At 39.2% G+C, this 13,090-nt stretch overlaps 1 protein-coding gene and 1 long non-coding RNA gene across 3 annotated transcripts in view; one reads left to right on the forward strand and one right to left on the reverse strand.

Annotated features, from left to right (window-relative positions):
- Positions 632-13,090, forward strand: part of LOC105378842 (uncharacterized) — a 51,385-nt gene continuing 38,926 nt past the window's right edge. The window contains exon 1 of one of the 2 annotated variants that reach the window (XR_947579.3): positions 632-862. This is a non-coding gene — a long non-coding RNA (uncharacterized LOC105378842). The remainder of the gene's footprint in view (positions 863-13,090) is intronic. The other variant, XR_001737682.2, reaches the window with a different exon arrangement.
- Positions 3,960-13,090, reverse strand: part of GBP7 (guanylate binding protein 7) — a 44,262-nt gene continuing 35,131 nt past the window's right edge. The window contains exons 10-11 of the mRNA NM_207398.3: positions 5,476-5,669; positions 3,960-4,621 (exon numbers count right to left, since the gene is read on the reverse strand). Of these exons, the coding sequence (NP_997281.2) occupies positions 4,367-4,621; positions 5,476-5,669 (449 nt within the window). The 3' untranslated portion in view covers positions 3,960-4,366. The remainder of the gene's footprint in view (positions 4,622-5,475; positions 5,670-13,090) is intronic.

Consider the following 13,090-nt stretch of genomic DNA (forward strand, 5'->3'; position numbering starts at 1 on the left):
TGGTGTGTTTACAATCCCTGAGCTAGACATAAAGGTTCTCCAAGGCCCCACCAGAGCAGCTAGATACACAGTGTCCATTGGTGCACTCACAAACCTTGAGCTAAACACAGGGTGCTGATTGGTGTATTTACAATCCCTGAGCTAGACATAAAGACTCTCCAGGTCCCCACTAGACTCAGAAGCCCAACTGGCTTCACCTAGTGGATCCCGCACAGGGGCTGCAGGTGGAGCTACCTGCCAGTCCCCTGCCGTGCGCTCGCATTCCTCAGCCCTTGGGTGGTCCATGGGACTGGGCGCCATGGAGCAGGGGGTGGTGCTTGTCGGGGAGGCTGGGGCCGCACAGGAGCCCATGGAGTGGGTGGGAGGCTCAGGCATGGCGGGCTGCAGGTCCGGAGCCCTGCCCTGCGGGAACGCAGCTAAGGCTCGGTGAGAAATAGAGCGCAGCGCCGGTGGGCTGGCACTGCTGGGGGACCCAGTACACTCTCCGCAGCCACTGGCCCGGGTGCTAAGTCCCTCATTGCCCAGGGCCAACAGGGCTGGCCGGCTGCTCCGAGTGCTGGGCCGCCAAGCCCACGCCCGCCCACCCGGAACTCCAGCTGGCCCGCAAGCGCCGCACGCAGCCGCGGTTCCCGCTGGCGCCTCTCCCTCCACACCTCCCTGCAAGCTGAGGGAGCCGGCTCTGGCCTTGGCCAGCCTAGAAAGGGGCTCCCACAGTGCAGTGGTGGGCTGAAGGGCTCCTCAAATGCCGCCAAAGTGGGAGCCCAGGCAGAGGAGGTGCCAAGAGCAAGCGAGGGCTCTGAGGACTGCCAGCACGCTGTCACCTGTCATTATCAACAACTTGACTAAAATACCTCTGTGTTTGGTGAGTGAACAACAATAACGTTTCTTATTTATCAGTTACTTTCTAGGCCAGATTATTTACATATATTATTTAAACAACACAATACTGCTTCAAAATATGGGGTGTTTGTTATTCCCTTTGTCCAAGGAGGAAAAAGAGAAAGAGATTAAGTAATGTTTAACTAAAACCATTGAGCAACTTCAAACTAGCAAGTCATTATGTGAGATTCTAACTTGAAAAATCAATTTAATTAATATCACGTTATATCTGTGTTCCACGCTGTCTCTAAAAGAAAGAGAAAAAAATAAACAGTGAGAGAAGAGAGTAAGATCGTGTGTGTGTGTGTGTGTGTGTGAATACTGGTGACAATGAAAGTGAAAGTAGAGCAGGGTTATTTCAAAATAGAAGCAATTCTAGGAAATCAGCTGCTTTTTTTCTTCTCAACAATAAAATCTATCGTTTATATCGGGGAACCATAAAATAGCTCCAGGGACAACTGAATCTTTGTGAATTATGTATAGTTTAAGGGTAAAGATGAATACTTGTTTATTAGCTAAAAGAGCCCTTTTTTCTAAGTTTCTGGCCCTTCCTTCACTATGCTAAACATTGTAATTGCCCTGTGAGCCAAAGGCAGTAACTTCATTCCAGGGTGATTATCATAGGTGAGAAACTTGATGAACACAGGGGCCATGTGGTGTCCAGTCCCTCAGAGAGAACAGGGTAAATTCAGACAAGTGTGCATGTTCTTTCTAATTCAGTGACTCCCTTCTGCACTAGTTTCTAAACTTGTGTCCTTTATTTTGAGAGCTCTAGAAATTGGGAATACAGTGAGGTTATGGTAAATTGGGGCCATACTGGAGGGTAGCTTATGTACTTAGCTCACACCTGAGCTTATGTGGTGGGTTTTGTGCTTGGAACTAAACCTAAGTTGATGAAGAAGACCTAGCTCCTGAGATCAAAGGTGGTAGACGGGTGTAAATAGGCATTTTCAATGTTACAATTATATAACATCTTCAATGGTAGGAGTGACAAGATGGTGCCATGGCAAAACTGGGAAGGGCATCTCATCCAGCCTTGGAAATTTAGGAAGTAGGACACTTTAAGGATGAGCGGGGGCTGAGAAATAACAGATATAGTGTGAGGAAGCAGGGTTTTAAGAAATCTTTGCCCCTTTTGCAAAGGCCCTCAGTCAAGAGAATATGCCCAGCTTATGGACTTATAAGGAGTTCATTCGAGTTCATTCAAGTACTGAGAACTAGAAAGCCAAAACAAATTCCTAAAATGTTGAGTTGAAAAAAAAAATTTCCTTCTACTTCATCGTCTTATAAATATGGGACAGCATTTAGAGACCATTCCAAGCAACATCCCAGGGGACTTTGTATCTGAAAGTATACTTTGGAATAAACTTTGAAATCTTTATTGAAAGGTCACAATAAAAACGAAATTAGGATGCATGTCTTGTGCCCTTTTTAGTTCCTTGTTCTGATGAGCAAGCTTTTCCTGTTGAGCTGACTTATGCTATTTCTAGTGGTATTAATCACTTTCTTCCTATCATGGGAACTCTCCCATCCATTCATTATTATTTCCTTTTTAATTTTAGTAATAATTTTTGTCCATGTTTAAATACATATCAATAATAAGTTCGTATAAAATATTAAAGACACAGAAGATCACGAAGTATGATTTTTTTTTTGGTGGATTAGTATATAGAAACTGCTTTCGGCTCCCTGAGAGGCTGGATGGAGGTGGAGGCTATGTGCTTGCGGTGCTGGTAGAGGTGCTACAATAGAATGTAATTTACTATGGTGCTGAGGTCACCCTGGTTAATGCTGCCTGCGCGAAGAGGACAAATGCATAGAAAGACTCAAGAGAGTGTGACAAAACCATATTGACAAAAGAGTGAAAGACTTCTGGAGTGCACACATCAGAGGAGCTTCCTTCTGGCTTCATAATGCCTTGGAAGAGGAAAGAACAAGAGATTTTCATAAGAATTTGCAATCACTGCTTGGCCTCCCAAAATCTTGAACAAATCAGATCAAAGATCAAATCCATGCTGTGGCAGCAATTCTTTATAACTAAATGGAGCTCCCTATATGGAATACAAGAAAGTAAGACTTTCTAAGTAGTTTAAAATCCTTTAATGTATCCTTTTTTTCAACTAAGTATATTATATTTGTGTTCATCTTGACAATCTTATCTTTGTTTTGCTTTTGATATGTCTGACAACCCACTTTAAGACTGATTATTCCAGTCCTTGATAATAGAGTCTATGTAGTGGATTTGGAGTTATGAAACACAAGTTGAGGTCATAACTTGGCAACCTAACGGATGATCTTGGGCAAATAGATTAATCTCACTATCTTCCTTTTATTATCCATAGATAATAACATTTGCCTTTCAAGGTTATAGTAAGAACTAAAGGAAATCTGTATTTGTTAACCTAAAGCACTCAACAAAGATAATAAATATAACATTAATGTAATCAATTTTTATTAAAAAAAGGCACAGAAGAATATATGATGTGAAATGAGTTATTTTCTAATTTCTCACCTCAACTATTCAGGTTCATTCCTGCTGTGACCATGTATACTAGATAATTTTCTATTTTTCCAGAAGGAGATAATAATATATGCATACATTTATTATTTTCTAAATTCAGTGGTAGTAATTATACATGCTTCGTGCATCATTTTTTTTTTTTACTTATGATACATCTTGGAGACTTGTCATTGTTAGTTCAAATAGAGCTTCTCCCTTCATTTTAGTGGCTGTAGAGTATTCCTTTATGAGTGTTTCCCAAGATTTCCCTTATCAGTACCTGAAAGAGGGGCTTTAATGTTTTTTTCAGTCTTTTGGCATTACAACAATGCTGCAACATAAGTACTATTTTATATATACCATTTTCAATTTGAGTAAATCAATCTATATGATAGATTTCTAAATGTGGAAATGCTAGATCAAAGGTATGTGCACTTAAATATTTCATATATGATTCCAACAGTTCACACTCTCACTAGCAAATATGAGACACTGACAATATCCTCAAACCCTTGCCAGCTCAGTGCCCTGTCAAACTGTTCTTTCAAGCCCATGATAAATTGAAGCAAGAACCTCATAGTTTTTCTTTGCACAACTTTTATTGTCAGTAAAATTAAACATTTTTATTATCATATTTTTGCCTGTTTAAAATATGTGGCGTTACTCTCTTCTCACTGATTTGCAAGAGCTAATTATAACTTAAATTATCTCTGTGACTATAACATTAATTGAAAATAATTTCTTTATATTACCATTTGTCCTTTTGCTTTACTTAAATCTTTTCTAGGAATAATTTTATCTTCTAACTTGTTCCCCATTTCTATTAATTATTACTTTAGTCAAAATTAAGTTTGTTTTTATGAACTTCAGGCCATAATATTCTTTGAAATTTGCTTTTTAATTTTAAACTTTTCTTAAATGAAACTGCAATAACACATATACTTTTAAAATGAGCAACAGCGTTATACCATTTTAACAAAAGAAACCTCAGCTTATAATTTTCTTACCAGGATTTCTCAGCCTATTACATAATGAGCTAAGAATTTTCATTCCTAAATCAACTAGCTTAGCAGCCCCAGGTAGTGCTGCAATAAATATACTGCCAGCCACATCAAGAATCTGTGAAAACACTGAGGGCTCTTCATTTTCAGCTGCTTCAATTTGTTCTTTCAGTCGATTAATCTCTTCATTTAACGACTCAAATATCTCTTTAAATCCTTCAGTAAGCAGTTCTTCTAGGACCTATAAAAGTAAAAGAGCCTACTTTTGAAAATCCCCAATTTTTAAGAGACCGAGGTTTGTATTTAACAATTTCATTAGTTAAACATGTGTCCATTTCTCTAACATCTTAGAAAATCTTTGATGAGTTGGTCTGACATTTCCAGATGACTGGACCTAAATAAGGGGAGTATCCATGATATACACCTTTGTGACATTTCCTCAGCACCATCTCACTGGAGGTGGGGAGGAATTTTGTTCCAGCACAATGAATGCCCTTTGAGAGGGAATGCAGATTTAATTCTAATTGATTCCCCTTTCCACCGATATAGCAAGGCCATGCTCATCTAGCAAATAATGGGGACTGCTGACCCTGTATAAAACACTGGTTGTCAAGCTCCAGTTTGGGACAAGGAATATGTTTTACTCTAGTTGTATAGGATGAGTCAGGCAGATACAGAAACAAATGGAGCAATTTGAGATCATTCAGTATCATTTCATATCAAGCCAAATCTGATACTTTCATCCAGATGGATGTATTTTGGGTCCTTTTGATGGTTGTGCCAAGAATCCTAAGGGCTGGTGGACTAAGGTCCTAATTAATTGGGGCACAGTGAGACCATCCTATAATCACCACAAACAGCAGCCCAGCACCCTGGGGGATGTCATGTGTACTCTCCAAAGTCTAACATGACAGAAAGTGCTGAAGTCTTGTAAACTTACAGGCTTCAGTAGAATTCATATGTATTTGAAATTTAAGTGAAATATATCTTTTGTGTTTCCTTCTGAAATCTTGACTGAGCTTAAAATTTTGGCTCTTCCCTAAATGAGGAACTGGCATTGTGCCTCAAGCACTGCCAAGCTTCATCCAGACTCACCTTCATCTTGTGACTCAACATCTTTCTCAGTTCTCTCATATAGTTTTCCCTTTCCCTCTCCATCTTCTTCTTGAGTTGAGCTATGTTTTCCTGGAAACTTCTCTCTTGAGCCTCCATCATTTGCTGCTGTTCCTTCTGTTTTTGTCTTAGCAGCTCCTGTTCCTTTTCAGCTGCCTCCTTCTTAGCCTGCTTAGCTGTTCCACCGAGGTTTTACAGAGGGAAGAAAATAACAGTCAGGTGGGAGAAGAACCATCATGGCTAAGTAGATGGAGTCAGGAAGAGCTTCTCCCACTGAGAGACCAGACCGTAAAGAAGACTGATAAACTCCAAGCAGGACTTCAGAAGGAAGGCATTGAGAGTTGATGAAGGAAGGATGCAGACCCAAGGCTGAAGGGAGAGGAAGCTGGGAACCTTGCACAGGTTGCCAAGCACCAAGACTCATTCCTAATCCTGAGCAGCTCCTGGGGAAGGGGTGAGGTAAATTGGTGCGAAGTGGCCCACTCTTGCCATGGACCTCTGAAATCCTAGCTTTAGGAGACCCCACAACTCCCATAGATGTTTGAGCTGGCAAAGAGAGCTGCTTGGAGACTTGGTAGGGACAGGACTCTGGCCAGTGTGGAGCCTAGATATTTGGCACAGGAATGGCTGCAGTGGAGCACAACCAGGAACTCCCATCCCCCAAGGCTTGCCATGCCCAGATACATGGCCTTGGCTTTTGTCGACTATTGGTCCTGGATAGAACTGGGCTATCTTGCCTGTGGGACAGATCCAGTATGGTCTGAGCACCTCCCAGTCTGCTAGCCTCTCTCATGGTCCCTGCCTGGCTGCATCCACTTAAAGTGCAATGTCAGATGCCTAACTGAAGCACTTCCCAGCAGCCATCACCATATCTTCTTTGCTGACATACCCTACCTAACCATCATAGAGCTTCAGCAGATGGGCTCACACCAGTGTGCACTCAATGCACCCTCTCCCCACTGTTTTGCTGGCACACACTCGCTTGCAGCCTCTCACCACCGCTTTGCTGGTACACATACCTGTGCAGACCCTGTCAACCTGCCACCACCAATGCACATGCACAGAACCTGCAGCACTACTGCCCTGCTGCTGCTGCTCACCAATGACCTTGGACCCCACTGCCACTGCTCTGAGAAAGTACTTTTGCCAGCACTCCTCATCGGTGTGTTGTTGCCAGTTAACCAGTAGCAAGTTGGCCCCTGCAGCACAGCAGGTGCTTAACCTAGAGGGGCCAGAGAACAAAGCCATGGGCCTGGTCCCAGCCTACTAAGGTTCAAGCCCCCAGCTCAGGAGTGCTGATCTGAGCCTTGGCCCCTTGAAATCATCCAGAAAAAAAAAAAAAAAACCCAGTCAGATGAACCCAACTTATACCAGTTGAATCTTCAAGAGAATAAAACAAAATAAAAGCCAAAAACCCCATGAAAGAAACAGACACTTCAAAGACTAAAGGAATATCAGCCCACACAGATGAGAAAGAAACAGGGACAGAACTCTGGCAACTCAAAAAACCAGAGTGTCTCTTACCTCCAAATGAGTCCACTAGCTCCTCAGCAATAGTTCCTAATCAAACTGAAATGGCTGAAATAGTAGATATGGAATTCAGAATCTGGATGGCAATGAAGATTATCGATATTTAGGAGACAGTTGAGATACAGTCCAAGGAACTGAAGGAATTCAGTAAAATGACTCAAGAACTAAAAGATGAAATAGCCATTTTAAAAAAGAGCCAAACTGATTTGATAGAGCTGAAAAACATGCTACAAGAATTTCATAATACAATCAGAGTATTAAATGTAGAATAGACCAAGATGAGGAAATAATCTCAGAGCTCAAAAACCCATTTTTCAAATCAACTTAGTCAAACAAAAATAAAGAAAAAAGAATAAAAAAGAATGAACAAAATCTCAGAGAAATATGAGATTACATAAAGAGACCAAACCTATGACTCATTGGCACCCGTGAAAGGGAGAGATAGCAAGCAATTTGGAAAACATATTTGAGGATAATGCCCATGAAAATTTCCCCAACCTCACTAGAGAGGTTGACATTCAAATTCGGGAAATCAGAGAAGCCCTGTGAGATCCTATACAAGATGACCATCCCCAACACATGAAATGGTCATCAGATTTTCCAAGGTCAGTGCAAAAGAAAAAATATTAAAGGCAGCTTGAGAAAAGGGGCAGGTCTTCTACAAAGGGAATCCCATCAAGCTAACAGTGGAACTTTCAGAAGAAACCCTACAAGCCAGAAGAGACTGGGGACCTATATTCAGCATTTGTAAAGAAAAGAAATTCCAAGGAAGAATTTCATATCCAGCCAAACTAAGGTTCATAAGAAAAAAAAAATCCTTTTTAGACAAGCAAATGCTAAGGGAATTTGTTACCACCAGACCTGCCTTACTCAAGCTGCTGAAAAGAGCATTAAACATGAAAATGAAAGACCATTATCAGCCACTACAAAAGCACACTTCAGTACATGGATCATTGACACTACAGAGCAATAACACAATCAAGTGTGGATCAAATCCACACATATCAATATTAACTTTGACTGTAAAAGGGCTAACAACCCCAATTAAAAGGCACAGAGTGGCAAGTTGCATAAAGAAATAAGACCCAACTGTCTTCGATGTTCAAGAGACCAATCTCATATGCAATTACACCAATAGGCTCAAAGTAAAGGGATGAAGAAAAATCTATCAAGCAAATGGAAAACAAAAAGAGCAGGGGTTGCTATTCTTATTTCAGACAAAACAGACTCCAAACCAATAATGATCAAAAAGGATAAAGATGGGCATTACATAATGATAAAAGTTTCAATTCAACGAGAAGACTTAATTATACTAAATATGTATGCACCCAATACTAGAGGACCCTAGATTCATAAAACAAGTTCAAAGAGACCTATGAAGAGACTTAGATAACCACACAATAATAGTTGGAGTCTTCAACACTCCACTGACAATATTAGACAGATCATTGAGGCAAAAAACTAACGAAGATATTCAGGACCTAACTTGACATTTGACCAGATGGACCTAACAGACATCTACAGAACACTCCACCCAACAATAACAGAATATACATTCATCTCATCTGCACATGGCACATACTCTAAAATTGACTCCTTGCTCTGCCATAAAGCAATTCTCAACAAATAAAAAAAAAACCCAAATCATACCAATGCTGTCAGACCACAATGCTGTAAAAATAGAAATCAATACAAAGAATATCTCTCAAAGCTATACAATTACATGAAAATTAATTAATCTGCTTCTGAATGATTTTGGGGTAAACAGTGAATTTAAGGCAGAAATAAATTATTTGAAATTAATGAAAACAAAGATACAACCTACCAGAATCTTTGAGACACAACTAGAGCAGTGTTAAGAGGAATGTTAATAGCACTAAACGACTACAGTAGAAAGTTAGAAATATCTCAAATTAACAATCTAACATTACACCTTGAGGAACTAGAAAAACAAAAGTGAACCAAGCACAAAGCTAGCTGAGACAAGAAATAACCAAAATCAGACTTGAAGTGAATAAAGTGGAGACAAGAAAAACCATACAAAAGATCAATGAAACCAATGGTTCTCTGGAAAAATACATAAGATGGATATACTTCTAGTTAGACTAAAAAAGAACAAAAAAAGAGAAGATCCAAATAAACACAATAAAAAAATGGCAAAAGGGACATTGCTATCAACTCCACAGAAATACAAAAAATCCTGAGAGACTATTATGAACACCACTATGCACACTAACTAAGAAACCTAGAAGAAATGGATAAATTCCTGGAAACATACAACCTACCAAAAGTGAACCAGGAAGAAATTGAAACCTGGAACAGACTAATAACAAGTTCCAAAATTGGGTCAGCATTAAAAAGCCTACCAAGCAGAAAAAGCCCTAGACCAGACAGAGTCATAGTCAGTTCTGCCATACATAGAAAGAAGAGCTGGTACCAATTCTACTAAACTATTCCAAAAAAAATGGGGAGCAGGGAATCTTTCCTAATACATTCTATGAGGCCAGCATCATTCTGATTTTAAAAACCTGGCAGAGACACAACAAAAAAAGAAAAATGCAGGACAATATTCCTGATGAACATGGATGAAAAAATCTTCAACAAAATACTAGCAAACCAAATCCAGCAGCACATTAAAAAGCGAACCCACCACTGTCAATTAGGCTTTATTCCTGGAATGCAAGGTTGATTCAGCATATGCTAATAATAAATTGATTCCTCACACAAACGGGACTCAGAACAAAAACCAGATGATCTTCTCAATGGGCACAGAAAAGGCTTTTGATAAAATTCAATATTTCATGTTAAAATATCTCAACAAACTGGGCCTCAAAGGAACATACCTCAAAATAATAAAAGCCATCTATGAAAAACCCACAGCCAACATCATACTGAATGTGAAAAAGCTGGAAACATTTCACTTGAGAACCAAAAACAGACAAGGATGCCCACTCTCAACAACTCTTATTCAACATAGTACTGGAAGTCCTAGCCAGAGAAATCAGGCAAAGGGGAAAAAAAAAGTTATCCAATAGGAAGAGAGGAAGTCAAACTCTCTCTCTTCATAGACAATAGAATTCTGTAGTTAGAAAACTCCATAATTTCTGCCCAAAGTCTCATCCATCTGATAAACATCAGCAAAGTTTCAGGATAAAAAAGTAAATGTACAAAAATAAGTAGCATTTCTACACACCAATAATGTCCAAGCTGAAAGTCAAACCGAGAACACAATCCTATTCACAATAGCTATTGTGAATAACCAAGAATAAAATACCTAGGTTTACAGCCAATCAGGGAGGTGAAGCATCTCTACAATGAGAATTATAAAACACTGCTGAAAGAAATCTGAGACTGCACAAACAAATGGAAAATTATTTCATGCATATGGATAGGAAGAATCAATGTTGTTAAAATAGCCATACTGCCCAAATTGATTTACATATTCAATGCTATTCCTATCAAATTATCGATGACTTTTTAAAAATAGAATTAGTAAAAACTATTCTAACATCCACATGGAACAACAACAACAAAAAAACCCCGAGTAGCCAAGGCACTCCTAAGCAAAAAGAACAAAGCCAGAGACATCACATGACTTGAGTTTAAACTATATTACAAGACTACAATAACCAAAATAGCATGGTGCTGGTCAAAAAACAAAACAAAACAAAACAGACACATGAACAAATGGAAAAGTTTAAAGAAAGCAGAAATAATACCACACACCTACAACTATCTGATCTTTGGTAAAGCTAACAAAAAAAGCAATGGAGAAAGAATGCATTATTCAATAAATGGTGCTGGGTTAACTGGCTAGCTATATGCAGAAGATTGAAACTGGACCCCTTCTTCTCACTATATACAAAAATCAACTCAAGATGAGTTAAAGATGTAAATGTAAAATTTAAAACTATAAAACCACCAAAAGAAAACCTAGGAAATACCATTCTGGACATAGGCACTGGCAAAGATTTCCTGATGAAAACTTCAAAAGCCACTGCAACCGAACAAAAAGTTAACAAGAGGGACCTAATTCAACTAAAGAGTTCATGCACAACAAAGGAAACTATAAACAGAGTAAACAGACAACCTACAGAATGGGAGAAAATATCTGCAAACTATGCATCTGAAAAAAGTCTAATATCCAGAATCTATAAGGAAGTTAAAGAAATTAAGAACAAAGCAAACAACCCCATTAAAAAATGGGCAATGGACATTAACAGACATTTATCCAAGAAGACATACACATGGCCAGCAAGCATATGAAAAAATGCTCAACACCAAAACAGAGATATAGATCAATGGAACAGAACAGAGCCCTCAGAAATAATGCCACATATCTACAACCATCTGATCTTTGACAAACCTGACAAAAACAAGCAATGGGGAAAGGATTCCCTATTTCATAAATGGTGCTGGGAAAACTGGCTGGCCATATGTAGAAAGCTGAAACTGGATCCCTTCCTTACACCTTATACAAAAATGAATTCAAGATGGATTAAAGACTTAGATGTTAGACCTAAAACCATAAAAACCCTAGAAGAAAACCTAGGCAATATCATTCAGGACATAGGCATGGGCAAGGACTTCATGTCTAAAACACCAAAAGCAATGGCAACAAAAGCCAAAATTGACAAATGGGATTTAATTAAACTAAAGAGCTTCTGCACAGCAAAAGAAACTACCATCAGAGTGAACAGGCAACCTACAAAATGGGAGAAAATTTTTGCAACCTACTCATCTGACAAAGGGCTAATATCCAGAATCTACAATGAACTCAAACAAATTCACAAGAAAAAAACAACCCCATCAAAAAGTGGGTGAAGGATATGAACAGACACTTCTCAAAAGAAGACATTTATGCAGCCAAACAACACGTGAAAAAATGCTCATCATCACTGGCCATCAGAGAAATGCAAATCAAAACCACAATGAGATACCATCTCACACCAGTTAGAATGGCGATCATTAAAAAGTCAGGAAACAACAGATGCTGGAGAGGATGTGGAGAAATAGGAACACTTTTACCCTGTTGGTGGGACTGTAAACTAGTTCAACCATTGTGGAAGTCAGTGTGGCGATTCCTCAGAGATCTAGAACTAGAAATACCATTTGACCCAGCCATCCCATTACTGGGTATATACCCAAAGGATTATAAATCATGCTGCTATAAAGACACATGGACACATATGTTTATTGCGGCACTATTCACAATAGCAAAGACTTGGAACCAACCCAAATGTCCAACAACGATAGACTGGATTGAGAAGATGTGGCACATATACACCATGGAATACTATGCAGCCATAAAAAATGAAGAGTCATGTCCTTTATAGGGACATGGATGAAACTGGAAACCATCATTCTCAGCAAACTATCGCAAGGACAAAAACCAAACACCACATGTTCTCACTCATAGGTGGGAATTGAACAATAAGAACACATGGACACAGGAACAGGAACATCACACTCCGGGGACTGTTGTGGGGTGGGGGGAGGGGGGAGGGATAGCATTAGGAGATATACCTAATGCTAAATGATGAGTTAATGGGTGCAGAACACCAACATGGCACATGTATACATATGTAACAAACCTGCACATTGTGCACATGCACCCTAAAACTTAAAGTATAATAATAATAATAAAAAAAACTGAAAAAAAAAAGAAAAATGCAGGTAGAAAGCACATGAGATATCATCTCATACCAGTCAGAATGGCTGTTACTAAAAAGTAAAAAAATAACAGATGCTGGCAAGGTTGCCAAGAAAAGGGAATTCTTAAACACTGCTGGTGGGCTTGTAAATTAGTTCAGCCACTGTGGAAAGCAGTTTGGAGAGTTCTCAAAGAACTTAAAACAGAACTATCATTTGACCCACCAATCCCATTACTGCTTATATACCCAAAGGAAAATAAATCATTCTACCATAAAGACACATGAATGTGCATGTTCATCGGTGCACTATTTCCAATACCAAAGACATGGAATCAACCTAAATGTTCATCAGTGGTGGACTGGATAATGAAAATGTTGTACATATATGCCTTAGAATACTACACAGCCATAAA

This window comes from Homo sapiens, chromosome 1 (genome assembly GCF_000001405.40).
Source record: "Homo sapiens chromosome 1, GRCh38.p14 Primary Assembly".
Classification (NCBI taxonomy): Eukaryota; Metazoa; Chordata; class Mammalia; order Primates; family Hominidae; genus Homo; species Homo sapiens.